Source organism: Homo sapiens, chromosome 7 (genome assembly GCF_000001405.40).
Source record: "Homo sapiens chromosome 7, GRCh38.p14 Primary Assembly".
NCBI classification, from domain to species: domain Eukaryota; kingdom Metazoa; phylum Chordata; class Mammalia; order Primates; family Hominidae; genus Homo; species Homo sapiens.
In genome coordinates, this window is record NC_000007.14 from 133,111,196 (window position 1) to 133,128,764 (window position 17,569).

Sequence of the window (17,569 nt, forward strand, 5' to 3'; positions counted from 1 at the left end):
CATGTTAGCCAGGATGGTCTCAATCTCCTGACTTTGTGATCTGCCCACCTTGGCCTCCCAAAGTGCCCGGGAGCCACTGCACCTGGCCTAAAATGGTTATTTTTATGGCATGTGAACTTCACCTCAAATTTTTAAAATCCCCTAAACACTGTTTTTAATGACCACAGTGTTATATTTGGCAGATACACTATTAAAAAAATCCTTCATTTTTTTGACATAGAGATTGCTTCTAGTTTTTCCTTGGTATAAACGAAACTGTACAAACACCCTAGCAGCTAAATATTTGCAGCCATCTCCTTTTAGGAAAAAACAATCCCAAAAGGTAGGCTTGCTTGGCCAATGAAGATATATAGTTAAAAGTGTTTAGATAATTTTTCCAGATTGTCCACAAGAAACACTGAAAAAGATTAAGATTCATCTACTCTACTCCAGGGAAATTATTTGTATCAATATGTTTTAACCATTGCTCAGAATGGAGCCCTAATGACATCACACAGATTTTCCAACCTCGCCACCCTTCTTGCAGTCCCATGGCAATCATCTCTCATCTGTATCTTCAAATATCACCCATATGTGTATAATTCCCAAAGCTCTATCTCCAGCCCAACTTTCCCTCTTGAACTCCAGCCTTGCATACTAAAAAATTAACCAGTTTATACTGTGTAACAAGCCCCAAAATTCAGTGCTTTGACCCATTTTTCACTAATCAAAGTTTTTCCCCCCACAAGGTGCAATATGGGCCAGCAGTGGGAGGTGGAGGGAGGGGTGTTCCTTTACCCTGTTACTCAGGGACTGTATTAGTCAATAAGGGCTGCCATAATAGAATTCCACAGATTGGGTGGCTTACACAACAGAAATTAACTTTCTTACACCTCTGCAGACTGGAAATCTGAGCTCAATATATGGGCAGGGGTTGGTGTCTTCTGAGGCCTCTCTCCTTGGCCTGTAGATGTCTGTCTTCTCCCTCTGTTTTCATATGGCCTTCCCTCTGCATGTCTGTGTCCTAACCTCCCCTTCTTAGGAGCACACCAGTCATATTCGATTAGGGTCCACCATCTGAACTCGTTTTACCTTAATCACTTCTTTAAAGACCCTGTCTCCAAATACAGCCACATGCTGAGGTCACTTCAACACAGGAATCTGGAAGGCCACAGTTCAGCCCATAACAGGCGCCTGTGTTGACAGAGGTTCCAGTATGGTAAGGCACTCTCTGCAACATGGAACCTTTCTTAGTGGGCATGGGCCAGGGAAGACAGAACTGCAGGGTCTGCCCAAAGATTCAGTGCTTCAGCCCAGACATGGCACATGTCATTGTCATGTACAGCCCATTGGTCAGAACAAATCACATGGCCCTGCTCGTCTGCAAGGAGGCTGTGAAGTGTAGTCTTTCATGAACCTGGAAGGAGAGGAAAAGCAGGTATTGACAAGCACCAGCAATGCCTGTCAACAGCTAGCGACCAAACATCTCTGACACAATGGTCCACAGGCACCTCACATTCAACAAGTCTCAGACTGAAAAAGTCATCTTCCCCACTCCATGCCACCCCACCCTACCCCAAGGTAGGGTGTGCTGTGCTTGTTTGGAGATTGACACCATCCATCCAGTTGCCCAAGACCAAAGCTGGTGGCCACCTTCTCCCTTTATCTCTAAATAAAATTGGTCATAAAGTCTTTTTAATCCTGTTATCCTAACAGGTTTTGGTTTAGCCTTCCCGCTCCATCTCTAATATGGTCTTAGTTTCAGCCCACATTGCTTCTCTCCTGCAGTATTAGAAGAGGCTCTCTTTATCCTTCCAGCCTTCTGGCTCCCATTCACTATCTACTCTGCTGGCAGAAGTAACCCCCTAAAATTCATATTGCACTCATGTCTCTCCAGTGCCTAAAATACTCCACCGCTTTCAGTCCACAGTCAGAGCTCCTTAGGGGTGTGGGGTCAGGTGATGCTGCTATATGCTCCATAAGTCAGAATGTGTCCTCCTCTGCTCTGAACCTTCCCACGGCTCCTCATTTCACACAGAGTTAAAAGCCAGTATTTTTCCAGCATCTCACAGGATCCAACTCAATCTGCAACCTCCTATTACTTCTCTACCTTCACTTACTCCTCTGCTCCTTGTTCATCTTGCTCCAACCACACTGTTGGCATCCTTCAAATACTGCAGTCCCCACCATCACAGGGACTTGTATTGGCTGAATCCTTTACTTGGAATCTTCCTTCTCCAGCTCTTTGCAGGATTGACTGTTGTTTTCTTCAAGCCTTTGCTCAAAGGTCCCCTTTTTAGCTTTCCTCGCTGTATTAGTCTGTTCTCATGCTACTAATAAAGACGTACCTAAGACTGGGTAATTTATAAAGGAAAGAAGTTTAATGGACCCACAGTTCCACATGACTGAGGAGGCCTCACAATTATGGCGGAAGGCAAGTAGGGGTAAAGCCACATCTTACATGGATGGCGACAGGGAAGAAGGCATGTGCAGGGGAACTTCCCTTTATAAAACCATCAGATCTCATAAGACTAATTCACTATCACAAGAACAGCACAGCAAAGACCCGTCCCCATGACTCAGTTACCTTCCACTGGTCCCTCCCACAACATGTGGGAATAATGGGAGCTTCAATTCAAGATGAGATTTGGGTGGGGACACAGCCAAACCGTATCACTCACCCCGCCTGATCCTCACATTTACCAATCTACATTGCTTTTAGCTTGTTTTCCTCAAACTTATCACTTTCTAACATGTTATACAATTTGTCTATTTATTTTTATTTATTATTTACTTTCTGTCTCCTTCCTACCGGAATATAAGATCTGTGAAGGTAGGGAACTTTTGTCCATTTTGTTCACTGATGCATCCCTAAAGCACACCCTGGGTGCATAGCACACAGGAGTGCTTAGTGAATGCATGAAAGATTGAATGAATTAATCTCTGTTTTATTACCTTGCACAGAGTAGTCAATTATCTACTGACTTTTCTGTTGCTCACGCTACAATGTGGATTATTTTATCTCTATAACTGCCGTCTGATGCCTGACACATACATGCTCAACCAATATTTGTGGAATAAATAAAATAGGATAAGTCTATTACTCTACCAATAAGAACACAGAGGCCACAGATCTTTCTCCATACCACACAGTGAGAAAATGGTGAGGTCAAAGCTAGAAGCCAGATCTTCTGTGTCCCTGGGCTGATATCTCTCCACTATCCCATCCAGCTCTACTTAAAATAGTTTAAAGTCTGTCTTGGCTTCCAATTATCTTGCAAATCTCTTGAGATGGGGTCAAAACACCAAGCTGCTTTAAAAGCTCCCGTAGTGCCTGATACAGTGCTAGGTAGGCATAATACTTATTCAATAAGTATTCATGGTTTGAGTGCTCAATAAAAATATTATTGTTAGCATTGTTTCCACTTTTAATGACAGAAATGATAATAGCCTCCCAGCAGTCTGCTTTAAATAGGTTCAAGACACCGAAATACAATTTGAACAGTGTCTTCCATCAGCTTGCTCCCTGGAGAGATGAAATGAGTTCATAATGAGATTCCTGCAATGAGTCAAAAAGCAGAGGGAAGGAGTGCAGGGTTTTGCTGCAGTGGGCACAGATGCTTCATTGGCATTTGGGAGCCCAATTTTTCTCTGGGACTCAGAGCTAGCACCAGCCCATGGGGGAGGGGCTGCAGCATGCAGTCCCCCTGGCCCCACAGTACTGAGCACACATTCTCTTTTCTGGGCACTGTCCCTTCAGATCTACTTTAGCTGTGGCAGAGGGTTGATGGAGAACTGATTGTCTATTCAGAATAAATGTAGTATGCTACCAGCCTATGGAAACCATGAAAGCCCCTGCATCCTGCACAAAATAACACATTGATTAATTGCCAGCAGCTACAACAGGTTATTTTCGCAGTCAGAGATTGGCGCGAAGACTCTTACTTCAAGTTTCTGTTGCTAATAGGTTTGATTTGCTTGATTTGGAAGTACAGGTTAATGCTAGCTGGAGTTTTTAAGCCTTGGTGATGAAAGTGTTAGTTCACTAGAATCCGGGGCCAGAAGTGTCCAAATCATTGCATGGGTAGGGGTAGGGTTTATCATTTCACTTTACGCAACTGGCATTTCATTAGGAAAAGGAATAGAGAAAGGAGGAAAAATTAGCCACAAGGTCATCTAGCTCCTCACACGGGGACACTTACCAGGCTGCTCCGGATTGAAAGGGGTCTTGAAACACTGCCCTGTTCTTCTGTCTGAGGTCAATCAAGGTCGACTCACCAATGACAACCTTTCAAAATGCCGCTGTATTTCTTCCAGCTCCTGAGATACAGTATCCAAGGGCCTTTTGCACCTGAAATGGCTCTTCCCGGTAGTTCAGCATCACTCCCTCTCTAGCTCCCTTTTTTGTCTGTGAAGCCGTTTAGAGCTTCTCTCAGCATCTTCAATTTGCTTCCTCACAAAAAGCTGCTTCCTCCATCATCCTTAGAGGAGAGAGGGTTTGGAAATGACAAATATTTTTTCCTTTGTCACATTAAGTGATGGGGGTTAAGTGGGTGTGAAGTGCTGAGATAAGGGGTACTTGGGCATTGAATGGCACGTGGCTCAGCTCTGGTTAGGGCAGTGTTCCAGTGAGGGCTCTGGGCTGGCCACAGGCACTGGCTGGGAGTTGAGATGTTCAGCAGCAGTTGCTTGATATGGTTTGGAATTGTGTCCCTGCTCAAATCTCATGTCAAATTGTGATCCCCAATGTTGGAGGAGGGGCGGGGTGGGAGGTGATTGGATCATGGGGTCAGATATGCCCCTTGCTATTCTCGTGATACTGAGTGAGTTCTCAAGAGATCTGATTGTTTAAAAGCGTTTATCACCTCCCTTTGTTCTCTCCTCCTCCTGCTCCTGCCACATAAGAGGAGCCTGCTTCCTCTTTGCTTTCTGCCACGATTGTACCTTTCCGGAGGCCTCCCCAGCCATGCTTCCTATACAGCCCAAGGAAATGTGAGCCAATTAAACCTCTTCTCTTTACAAATTACCCAATCTCAGGTAGTTCTTTATAGCAATGCAAGAACAGACTAATACAGTGCTTCACCCCTTTGTTTCCTCATAAAGTGGGATTAATAATACCTTCCCTACTTCCTCTGCAAGGTGGGATTCTAGATGAGAAAGCACTGGATAGAATAATTAACAGATTCTGTGAAATTGCTTTGCCCTGGCCAGAGATTCTGTGATTACCTTCCCAGGCTTACAACTTCTAGTGGTTTCTATCTGTAATCATTCTTTCTGTCTCCGTTCTCCACAGGGGCTAAAGAAGGCCAAATAAAACCTCTAGAGCCTCCCGAACTGTGAGCACATCACATCTGTCTAGTGCAACGCTTGCCTTACTAGCTTTTTTCCCCACACCCTTCTTGTCTCTAAGAAAAACATTGCATTGAAACTAAAAATTATCCCTTTTCTATTCCTGATATGCATTTTCTTCGCTGAGCGTTTATTTCCCAAGGTTTCTAGGAAAAGTGCACGGGATGATAGCCACAATAGTAAATCGAATTACATTGTAGTGGGATGCAGTGCACTCTTAGGTTAAAAAAAGAAGTAATGATGTATGAAATATCTTTTATTATTTTTAGCAAAAGTATTTCTTAAAGGAGATTTCACCCAAGGATTTTTCTATTAATTTGACACCCAATTTAGTTTCCCCCGCCCCCCCTCCCCACACACACACAGAAGGCAAAACAGAGGAGAAATTTAAAATCAAATTAGATCGAGAAGATATTTTTTCCCCTCTCTTTCCCTCTCAGTTTTGCCATAATTCCCTGTACTGATGGCAAGAAGGAGATGATCTTCTGTCTGGGCATTTGTTGCCGTTAAGAGGAAGAAAACACCAATGGTGGGTGGAATTTTTCTTTGATGCCAAATTCTATTGCACAGCCTTTCAGAAAAACATTGGTATACTTCATTTCATTTTCAAAAAACTCATCTCAAAAAACTTGGGGCCGGGTGCGATGGCTCCTGCCTGTAATCCCAGCACTTCAGGAGGCCAAGGTAGGTGGATCACCTGAGGTCAGGAGTGCAAGACCAGCCTGGCCAATGTGGTGAAACCCCGTCTCTATTAAAAATGCAAAACTTAGCCAGGTGTGGTGGTGTGTGCGTGTAATCCCAGCTACTCAGGAGGCTGTGGCAGGAGAATTGCTTGAACCCGGGAGGCAGAGGCTGCAGGAGCAGAGATCACGCCGTCACACTCCAGCCTGTGTGACAGAGCAAGACTCCATCTCAAAAAAAAAAACCAAAACCGAAACAAACAAAAAACTTGGAAGCTCTCAGCACTACCTCAACAATACCGCTAAATGTCCTAGGATTCGGTATTAGTTCTGAAATCCCTTCCCAGCTTATCACTTTCATACTTAATGGACCTGTTGATTCCACAACATGCCAGCACACGAATCCATCTGTCACAATGGCAAGGTGCCCTTTCTGTAGGATGACATGCCAATAGCCACCAGCCCCAGTGCCAGCCAATGTGGCATTAGCAACAATGCCCTGCATGACACAATAAACTGTGTACCGATTCAGCAAGAAGGTCTTCCCAGGGAAGCCATGAGCTGCCAAGTGAGAGGCATGCTGCTCATTATGACAAGTCATGCATGGCCCATTCCTGTACAGACCCTGTCCCATGGGTCACATTAGCCCTGCCTATGTGGAGCTACGATGAAAGAGAACAATTCTTTCTTCAGCAGCCACTCTGTGGTACTGACAGAACACACTCTGGAGAGGAGAACTATCCATTGTTAGAACACCCCCTAGGGTGACCAACCATCTTGGAGTTTTCTGGGACATAGGACTTTCAGTGCTAAAAACAAGAAAGTCAAAGAACTAGAATGAGTTGACCACCCTACCTGTATCCCCATGCCAGTCCCCACTGGTACATTCCTCCTTGTCCTGTGTCTTCATCCAACCTTGTTTCACTTCCACTTTTATGGTAAGGATCCGAAATGGCCTCAGGGATTCACACTTCTTGGCATTCACACCCTTGCCTAATCCCTTCCACTAGAGAGTGGGCTGGACTTATTCACTTACTTCTAAGAAGCGCAGAAGTGAAGGGATGTCACTTCTGAGATTATCTTAGAAAAAAAGACTATGGTGTCCATCTTGGGCACTCAATTTTTTCTTCTCTTCACCAACACTCAAGCCCCTACCATTCTTTCCTTCTCCCTCTGAGGGTAACCAACTACCGTGTTGCAAACAGCCGCATGGAGAAGCCCATGTGGGAAGGAACTGATGTCTCCAGCCAACAGCTGGAGACCTGCCAATAGCCCTCTGATTGAGCTTGGATGCAGAAACAACCCGAGGCCTGCCAGTAGCCCCCAGAGTGAGCTTAGATGCAGCTCCTCCCTGTCTCCAGCCTCAAGATGACTGCAGCCCCTTCTGACACCTTGTTTGCAACCTTGTGAAAGGCCCCGAGTCAGGGCACCCAACTAGTCGTGCCTGGATTCCTGACACACAGAAGCTGTAAGATGATCAATGTATGTTGTTTTAAACTACATGGAAGTAAATAACCAAAACAATTTTAAACTGTGAAGAAGCAAGACTCAGTTCTGAAACAGACTAGACTGAGAATAGCACTTTACAGTTAACAGGAACCCAAGAGATCAACTGTTCCCCTCCATTCATTTGACAGGTGAGGAGCCTGAGCCCAGGGGAGGCCAAGCACCTTGTTCTGTAGCTCGTTAGCCACTGCTAGACTGTGCCCTGGGTCTGCTGACTCCTGCTTCGGTGCTGGTTCTCTTCAGTGCTGCTGCCCAGATTGGTAACACCAGCGCCCAGATTTTCAGGCTGTACCTGGTTGTCAGAATCCTGCTACCTCTAGTTTGGTTCACGAAAGAAGATTGCCTTGAACAGACCAGCTCTTCTTAATCATTTCTTCCCTGCTGGAAGCCTTTCTAACTCCTATTAGCTCACTGGATGCTGCTTTCAAAGGCTTTCTAGATGGGGTGGAATGGAAGTCCCATCCCCCTGTTTGCTTTTTTTTTTTTTATTGTATTGTTTCTCTGAGATCTTGCAGGGAGAGAATTTATCTCCAGCTTTGTCACAGGGTTGATAAACTTAATAAAATCTTTTCTACATGATAATCTAGAAACACTGCAGATTTATTTCTGGCTCTGAAAATCAGGAAGCCTCATATCCTCTTTAAATCAGATTTCTGCAGTGTAAATAAACCATCATTTCAATTTAATTCAACAAATATTCCTAAAGCACCTATACCATTATTTGTTCTAGAAGGGTTAGAATGGAAGAAGGCAGGAATGGAAAAAAAGTATGACATGATTATTATTCTCAAGGAACATTTCTGGATGGAAATAATAATCATTATCATAATAACATTTAGCAAAAGGGACTTATCTATGTTTATCTATAATATTTTATTTATTTAAAAAGATCTAAAAAAGAATGAAATGTTAGCAGTTGTTGATTCTGAATGGTGACCTCATGGTTGTCATATTATTTTCTTTTTAAAAATATACACTATATTTTAATAATATATACTTTATAATTATATTAAAACATACATTATATTTTTAGAGTATATATTATAATGTACATTAAAAATGCATTATATTTTCCTTTTTTTTTGGAAACAGAGTCTTACTCTGTCACCCAGGCTGGAGTGCAATGGTGCGATCTTGGCTTACTGCAACCTCCACCTCCTGGTTTCAAGCAATTCCTGTGCCTCAGCCTCCCGAGTAGCTGGGACTACAGGCATGCACTGCCATGCCTGGCTAATTTTTGAATTTTTTTTGGTAGAGACGGGGTTTCACCATGGTGGCCAGGCTGATGTTGAACTCCTGACCTCAAGTGATCCGCCTGCCTCAGCCTTCCAAAGTGCTGGGATTACAGGCATGAGCCACTGTGCCCAGCCATAAAAATGCATTATATTTTCTAAAGGTAATTTTTTTCACATTAAAAGAATATAACATAATGAATCTGTCTAAGGCACTCTAATGAGCACTTTGCATGAATATCTCATTAAATCTTCCCACCAGTCCTCTGAGGGAAGTACTTTGTTTTCCTTGTTCCTCTGCAGCTCAGAAAGGTTGGGTAACTTATTCAAAGTCACCCAGCTAATAAATGAAATTAAAATCTAGTTCTGTCTTATTCCAAAACCAGTGATCTCCATTGCCAACCTTTAATTCCTGCCGACAAAAAGTATATCTAGGTGGGAAAATGACAAATACATGTATGAAATAAGTTCAGACAAATAATTTCAGCAAGCTTCTACATGAGATATATATGTAAGTGTTAGATAAGACAGGGCACTGTTGCAGTGGAACTCACATTCTAGTGGGCAGGGATTGACAATCAAAAAGTACATGAGGTTGGGCATGGTGGCTCACACCTGTAATCCCAGCACTTTGGGAGGCCAAGGCAGGCAGATCACCTGGGGCCAGGAGTTCGAGACCAGTTTGGCCAACAAGGCGAAACCCCGTCTCTACTAAAAATTCAAAAAATAGCTGGGCGTGGTGGCAGGGGCCTGTAATCCCAGCTACTCAAGAGGCTGAGGCATGAGAATCACTTGAATCCGGGAGGCAGAGGTTGCAGTGAGCTGAGATCGTGCCTTTGCATTCCAGCCTAGGCGATAGAGTGAAGACCCTGTCTCAAAAAAAAAAAAAAGTACATACATAAGACAATTTCAAATTATAAATACTAGGAAGAAATTAAAACAGAATGAAAGAGTAGTGGAAGGGAGGGCTTTTAGGTTGATTGGTTTAGAAGACTCCACTGATCAAAGTTTGAAATCAGTTTCCCTCCTCCCTCATTCTATGGAGGTCAAGGTCTCATGACTGGTGCACCCCAAATTTTAATCAGTGAAGTTTATGGGGATGGGACCAGTATGTGAGAATTGACTATGTCAGGCAGAGGACCTCATTCTTCCATGCATATAATCTCATTTAGTAATATTTGGATATGTTAGGAGTGGGTGGTAAATAGACATTTGCCCATCATGTTCTATTTGACAGCAAGAAAAAACATTATGCATTTGGACAACAGTGAAAAAGCAAATCAGATTAAGGGAGGGTGCAGGCTACATGGTGGGAATCAAGCACAGAGGACTGCAGACAGATAAGGAAGGGCCAGACTTTTGAAAGCCAGTATGGAGCCTTGGATAAAAAATTAGAGCCTGATTAGATACTGAGCAAGAGAATGAAATGATGAATGTGACAGTCTAAATGGCCTACTCTGCAAACACAGTATATAGCGGTGGAGATATCCGGGGGGAAGGAAGTCTTTCAGAAGACTATAGTTTACATTGGCCATATGGAATCCTTATCTAAGAAGGCAGGAATTGAGAATGGAGGGATGTATCTGAGAGACATTGCAGAGAAAGAATCAACTGCTCAACCCCAAGGGGTAGTACTTTTGGATGGAAATTGTGCGAACTCTCAGTGGGAGGTGGCAGCATTGTTTTTGCCCAACATTTCTGGGGATTAAGTTGCTCTGGTCTGTTGATGCTTGAACAGATTGTGAAAATGATCTCTCCAACTTTTTGGTTTTGGACTCAAGATGGAAAGTTGATCTGAACTATTTACTTGGGTACGTGGGAGGATCATGCGTAGGACTTGAGCTTCCGGGGGCAGAGAGCTGTTGCACAGATGGCTACGTTACAGAGTACAGATCACAATCAACTCCAGCATTTAGAAGATTTCCTTTCTTACTAAAATTTATTCTACCCTTTGAGAAATAACAAAAGAACTCGTGCCATATGCCTCAAGTATCACTAATGCTCCAGTACTTTCCAAAGGTATTTAAACTACTATCCCTTCTCACTCCTGTAATTGACACCCTATTTGTCAACATATATGTATTTTAATTAGAATCTGAGTTTCAAAGAAGAGATTCGCCCAAGTTAACTTAAAATTCCATCTCAGAGTATGTTCCTGGAGAACGCAACTTGTAATGCTATTGCTAATGCTATTGCTATATGACTTCAGTACTCTTGAAAGGTGTGATTTCTTTTTTGGTCCTATCATGTGGTCAGTTTTTGTAAATTTTCCATGAGTACTTGAAAAGCGTCATCATGCTAAAGATGCTGGTGCTGTGCTATTGGCCATTAGGCCAAGTTGGTTAATTAAATTGTTGCTGGTTCTAGTCATCTATATTCTTACTGATTCTTGTCTGCCTTTTCTATGAATTTCTGAGAAAAGTGGTTAAAATTTCTTGCTAGCCAGATGCAGTGGCTCATGCCTGTAAACCCAACACTTTGGGAGGCCAAGGCAAGAGGATCACATGAGTTCAGGAGTTCGAGACCAGCCTGGGAACATAGTGAGACCTTGTCTCCACTAAAATTTTTTGTTTAATTAGCTAGGTTGTGGTAGTGCCTGCCTATAGTCCCAGCTACTCAGGAGGCTGAGGCAGGAGGATCTCTTCAGCCTAGAAGGTGGAGCATGTGGTGAGCCGTGATGATACCACTTTACTCCAGCCTGGGCAACAGAGCCAGATCTCATCTCAAGAAAAATAAATAAATAAATAAATAAAACCTCATGCTGAGATTGTGAATTGATTTATTTTTCTTTTTAGTTATGTCCATTTTTGCTTTCTATACTTTGAGATGATGTTATTAGATATATATTAATTTAAATTTACTTTTTTTTGGCGATTGCAATTTTATCATTAAGAAGTGATCATCTTTACCACTAGTAGTTTTTTGTTGTTGTTGTCGTTTTTTGAGTTGGTGTCTCCCTCTGTCGCCCAGGTTAGAGTACAGTGACGTGATCTCCACTCACTGCAACCTCCACTTCCCATGCTCAAGCGATCCTCTCACCTCAGCCTCCAGAGTAGCTGGGATCACAGGAGCCCACCACCATGCCAGGCTAATTTTTTTTCTTTTGTATTTTTGGTAGAGACAGAGTTTCACCATGTTGCCCAAGCTGGGTCTCGAACTCCTGAGCTCAGGCTATCCAGCCACCTCGGCCTCCCAAGTGTGGGATTACAGGTGTTGAGCCACCACACCCGGCCTACCACTAGTAATTTTTTAAACTAAAAGTCTATTTTGCCAGATATCAGTATAATTAAATTGGCTTGCTTTTCACTAGTATTTGTCCAGTATAACTTTGTACATATTTTTACTTTTTTAAAAAACCAGCTTTACTGAAATATAACTAACATATAATAAAAGATACAGAATTAAAATGTACAGATGAATAAGTATTAACATAACACACACAAGATTATCAGCACAATCAAAACAATGGACATGTTCATCATCCCTGAAAGTCTCCTTGCCCCCTTTTCTTTCCCCTACTCTCCCTGCATCCTCCCCCACCACTTCCCAGGCAAACACTGAGCTTTTCTTCTATCACTATAGGTTAGTTAGCTTTGTCTAGAACTCATATAATTGGAGCCATCATGATGTACTTAAAAAAAAAAATCCAGCTCTGTCATTCAGTATAATTGTTTTAAACTGTATCCTTGTTATATGTATCAATAGATCATTCCTTTTTATTTATTTTCTTTTCTTTTCTTTTCTTTTTTTTTTTTTTTTTCTGAGACAGAGTCTCACTCTGTTGCCCAGGCTGGAGTGCAGTGGAGAGATCTGGGCTCACTGCAACCTTTGCCTCTTGAGTTCAAGTGATTCCCCTGCCTCAGCCTCCCAAGTAGCTGGGATTACAAGTGCGTACCACCACGCCCGGCTAATTTTTGTATTTTTAGTAGAGATAGGGTTTCACCATGTTGCCCAGGCTGGTCTCAAACTCCTGACCTCAAGTGATCCACCCGCCTTGGCCTCCCAAAGTGCTGGGATTACAGATGTGAGCCATCGTGCCTGGCTGCGTCCTTTTACTTTTAATCTTTCTATTGACTCAGGTTTTATATGTGGTTTTCGTAAATAATGTGTATTTGGACCTTTTAAATCTAGTCTCAAAGTCTTTGTGTTTTAAATGAAGCATTAGTCCACTTTTTTTTTTTTTTTTTTTTCAGAGTCTCACTCTGTCGCCCAGGCTAAAGTGCGGTGATGCGATCTTGGCTCACTGCAACCTCCACCTCCCAGGTTCAAGCAATTATCTGCCTCAGCCTCCCGAGTAGCTGGGATAACAGGCACCCACCACTACGCCTGGCTAATTTTTGTATTTTTAGTAGAGACAGGATTTCACCATCTTGGCCAGGCTGGTCTTGAACTCTTGACCTCACGATCCACCCGCCTCAGCCTCCCAAAGTGCTGGGATTATAGGCGTGAGCCACCATGTCTGGCTGCATCCTTTTACTTTTAATCTTTCTATTGACTCAGGTTTTATGTGTGGTTTTTGTAAATAATGTATATTTGGACCTTTTAAATCTAATTGCAAAGTCTTTGTGTTTTAACTGAAGCAATTAGTCCACTTTTATTAAGCAATTGCTGATACGTTTAGGTTTACATCTACTACTTCATCTTTATATTATTTCTCTCTGCTGTATGTTTCTAAATTTTTTCTAGGCTGAGTGCAGTGGTGAGTTCCTCTAATTCCAGTGCTTTGGGAGGCTGAGGTGGGAAGATTACTTGAGGCCAGGAGCTTGAGACCAGCCTGGGCAACATGGCGAGACCCCATCTCTACAAAACTAAAATAAAATATTAGCCAAATCCAATGGCACGTGCCTGTAGTCTTAGCTACTCAGGAGGCTGAGGTCGGAGGATCACTTGAGCACAGGGAAACTGAGGCTGCAGGGAGCTATAATCATGCCCCTGTACTCTAGCCTGGGCCACAGAGACCCTGTCTCTAAAACATACACATAACTTTTAAAAATGTTTACTTCTTATTTCCCTTTTGGCTTTCTTTTAAATTGATTACTATTTGTTTTTTCATATGTTCCATCTGAACTACTTTGGAAGTTACTAGTCTATTATACTTTAAAGAAGCAAGTTTTGTAAACCTGATAATATAGTCAACAAGATTCAGAATCAGGAATAGACCAGAATCCAGGTGCTATAATGAAATCACAACAGGACTCTGAAAAGAGAATTTAAGGAATGTGAAGTATCCAGCATGGCTACTGAGTAGAAAATTAATTAATAATGGAACGGAAGATAGCTGAAAGAGAATAACTTGTTATTATCAGCACAGATTCTGGTGGCAGAGGTAAAATGGCAATTGCTGCAGTACTTTTAATCATACTTACATGCCTTATGGGGCCAAAAGAGCAAATGAATTCCTGAAGATTTCAAAGATGGTGGGAGGTGGGTGGTATAATCTAAGCTTTCTGGCTGGGCATGGTGGCTCATGCCTGTATTCCCAGCACTTTGGGAGGCCAAAGAGGGCAGATCACTTGAGGTCAGGAGTTCAAGACCAGCCTGGTCAACATAACGAAACCCCCCTCTATTAAAAATACAAAAATTAGCCAGGCATGCTGGCGGGCGCCTGTAATCCCAGCTACTCGGGAGGCTGAGGCAGGAGAATCGCTTGAACCTGGGAGGCGGAGGCTGCAGTGAGCCGAAATCAAACCACTGCACTCCAGCCTGGGTGACAGAGCGAGACTTGGTCTCAGAAAAAAGCTTTCTGCACCTTGCTCTTTCTCTAAATAAAAACTCTTACCTTAGGGAAATAATAATAATAATAACAACGACAGTAATGACAGAGTAGCTTACAGTTTTTGAGTACTTAATTATGTAATGTGCAATGCAGTTTTTTATGGTTTTCTCATTTAATCTCATTTAATCTTCCCAGCAATTCTTTGATAAAGATACTATGTAGGACACCATCTGTACACCACTTCAAATCCCCTCGGCATTGTCTATCTGCTAATTTAACCACTGCTGCAGTGACCTGTCCTATGCAGATGCAAACTGGTGACACTTGTTCCCAATACTGTGCCACACACCTCTTACTTCCTGCCCCGAAGCTTCTTTATTAATGCCGCGACTTGGAATCCTAGGAAAAAATCCCAGAGTATGTCATTGGTATAGATGTACTTGGAAACTGGAAGAATCTTCACATTATTTCTCTGACCTGTAGAGAGCTTTCTACTCCACCTTACTGGAGATAATAAAGCAATCATGCATCCCAGAAGGAATTATAGAGATTAATTCTACCGTTAAAGGTTTAAAAGACATAAGAGTAGAAGTCCCCACAATTATTCCATTCAATGCACCTGCCTGCATGCAGCAAACAGCAATAACAACAATATAGCTCATGGTAGATGACAATCATAAATTTAATTAGATGGTAACCCCAATAGCAACTACCATGTCAGCTGTTGTATCTTTACTAAGGCAGATCAGCAGTCTCTAGCTCTTGGTATGTGGCTATTGATCTGGCAAATGCCTTCTTCCCCATCCAGATCAGTACAGGGAGAATCAGAATCCATTTGATTTAACATGAGAGGGATAGAAGTGCATTATTTACTGTCTTGCTCCAGGGCTATGTTAACGTTCCTGTTTCCTGCCCCAGTAGAATCTGCAGGGACTTGATTGCCTTAATGTTCTACCAGAACTTAATGACGTCATACTAATGGGCTCTGGTGAGAATGGATGGCAGGTATGTTGGATGCCTTGTAAGTGAGCCTGTTTGTGAAGATAAATCCTATGAAGACTCAAGTGGCAAGCACTCCTAATGTACTTATTTACTAAAAATTTAAAGTTATTTGAATTAAAACATTTAAAAAGGTTTCTTATAGAAAATATCAGACATATAAAAAATTAGAGAAAATAACAAAACAAATAATATATTTGTTATAAGTAATATATAACCAGCTTCAGTAATTACCAATTTATAGCCAGTTTCATTTCATCCATAACTTCATTCCTTTCCTCCTCCGATGTTATCTTGAAACAAATCCCACATCTATTCATTCGTAAATATTCCATATGGATCTCTAAAAGATAAAACTTCTTTTATAACGTAACTGTCATATCATTATCACATCTAGGATAAGATACTTTATTTTTTTTGAGACAGGGTCTCTCTCTGTCACCCAGGCTAGAGTGCAGTGGTGCCATCACAGCTCACTACAGGCTCAACTTTCTGGGGTCAGGTGATCCTCCCACCTCAGCCTCCCAAGTAGTTGGGACCATAGGCACAAACCACCATGCTCGGCAGTTTTTTGTTTTTTTTTTTTTTCCAGAGACAGGGTCTCGCTATGTTGTTCAGGCTGGTCTCAAACTCCTGGGCTCAAGTGATCCTCCCACCTCGGCCTCCCAAAGTGCCACTTTTTTTTTTTTTTTTTTTTTTTGTAGAGACAGGGTCTTGCTATGTTGCTCAGGCTGGTCTCAAACTCCTGGGCTCAAGTGATCCTCCCACCTCGGCCTCCTAAAGTGCTGAGATTATAGGGGTGAGCCACTGCACCCGGCCCAAAAAATAAAACTTCTTTTATAACATAACTATCATATCATTATCACATCTAAGATACTTAATAATTCTTTAATACCATCAAATATTCAGTCATTGAAATTTCCAATTGTTTCCTAAATGTCATAATTTTTAAAAGTTTGTTGTTTGAAAAAAGATACGAATAAAACCTCGACATTGCAACTGGTTGATATGCTTTAATAGTCTCCTCTAGTTTATTAGTTCTCCTTCCATCTCTTTGGTTTTATTCTTTGCAGTTTATTTGTTAAAGAAACTGGGTCATTTTTCCTGCAGGGTGGATTTTGCTAATTGCATCCCTATGTTGTCTTTTGACATATTCCTCTATGTTTTTTGTAAATACGTAGTTGCTGATGCCATTTTTAGTGGCCCCTGGAGTCTAGGATGTCCCGGGATATATACCTTTAAGGTAGAGAACAAGTTTTTGTACCTTGCATCTTGTATGATTAAGAAGGAGGCACATGTTTGATTAATCTTCTTGGATTTTGGAAGCAGTGTACACTGTACTTGAACCAGTTTATCAGGTGACCAGAAAGGCTTCCATTTTCAAGTGGGATTCAGAACACAAAAAAAATTCAGCAACAGATCCAAGTTGTGTTGCAAACTGCCCTGCCACTTAGGCCTCATGACCCAGCAGATCCAATAGTACTAGGGAGATCCCTGGTGGATAAGAATGCTGTGTGAGGCCGGATGCGGTGGCTCACACCTGTAATCCTGGCACCTTGGGAGGCCAAGGTGGGTGGATCACCTGAGGTTAGGAGTTTGAGACCAGCCTGGCCAACATAGTGAAACCTGCCTCTACAAAAATACAAAAATTAGCCAGGCATGGTGGCAGGCACCTGTAATCCCAGCTACTCAGGAGGCTGAGGCGGGAGAATCGCTTGAACCTGGGAGGCGAAGGTTGCAGTGAGCCAAGATCGCACCACTGCACTCCAGCCTGGGTGACAGGGCGAGGCTCCGTCTCGGAAAAAAAAAAAAAGAAGAATGCTGTGTGAAGTTTCTGGCAAGCCCCAACATAAGGATTATGGCAGGTTTCTAGAGCAGGATCATATCCTCCAAGCAGATAATTACTCTCCTTTTGAGAAGTAGTTCCCCATGTGCTCCTTGGCCCTAGTAGATATCTAACACCTGGGACACAAAGTGATGGTGAGACCCAAACTGACTATCCTAAGCTCACAGTTACCAGAACCACCAAGTCATAAAGTCAGGTGGGCCCAGCAGTGTTCCACTACGCATTCCAAACAATAAGAGTATCATGGCAAAGCAGGTCTAGA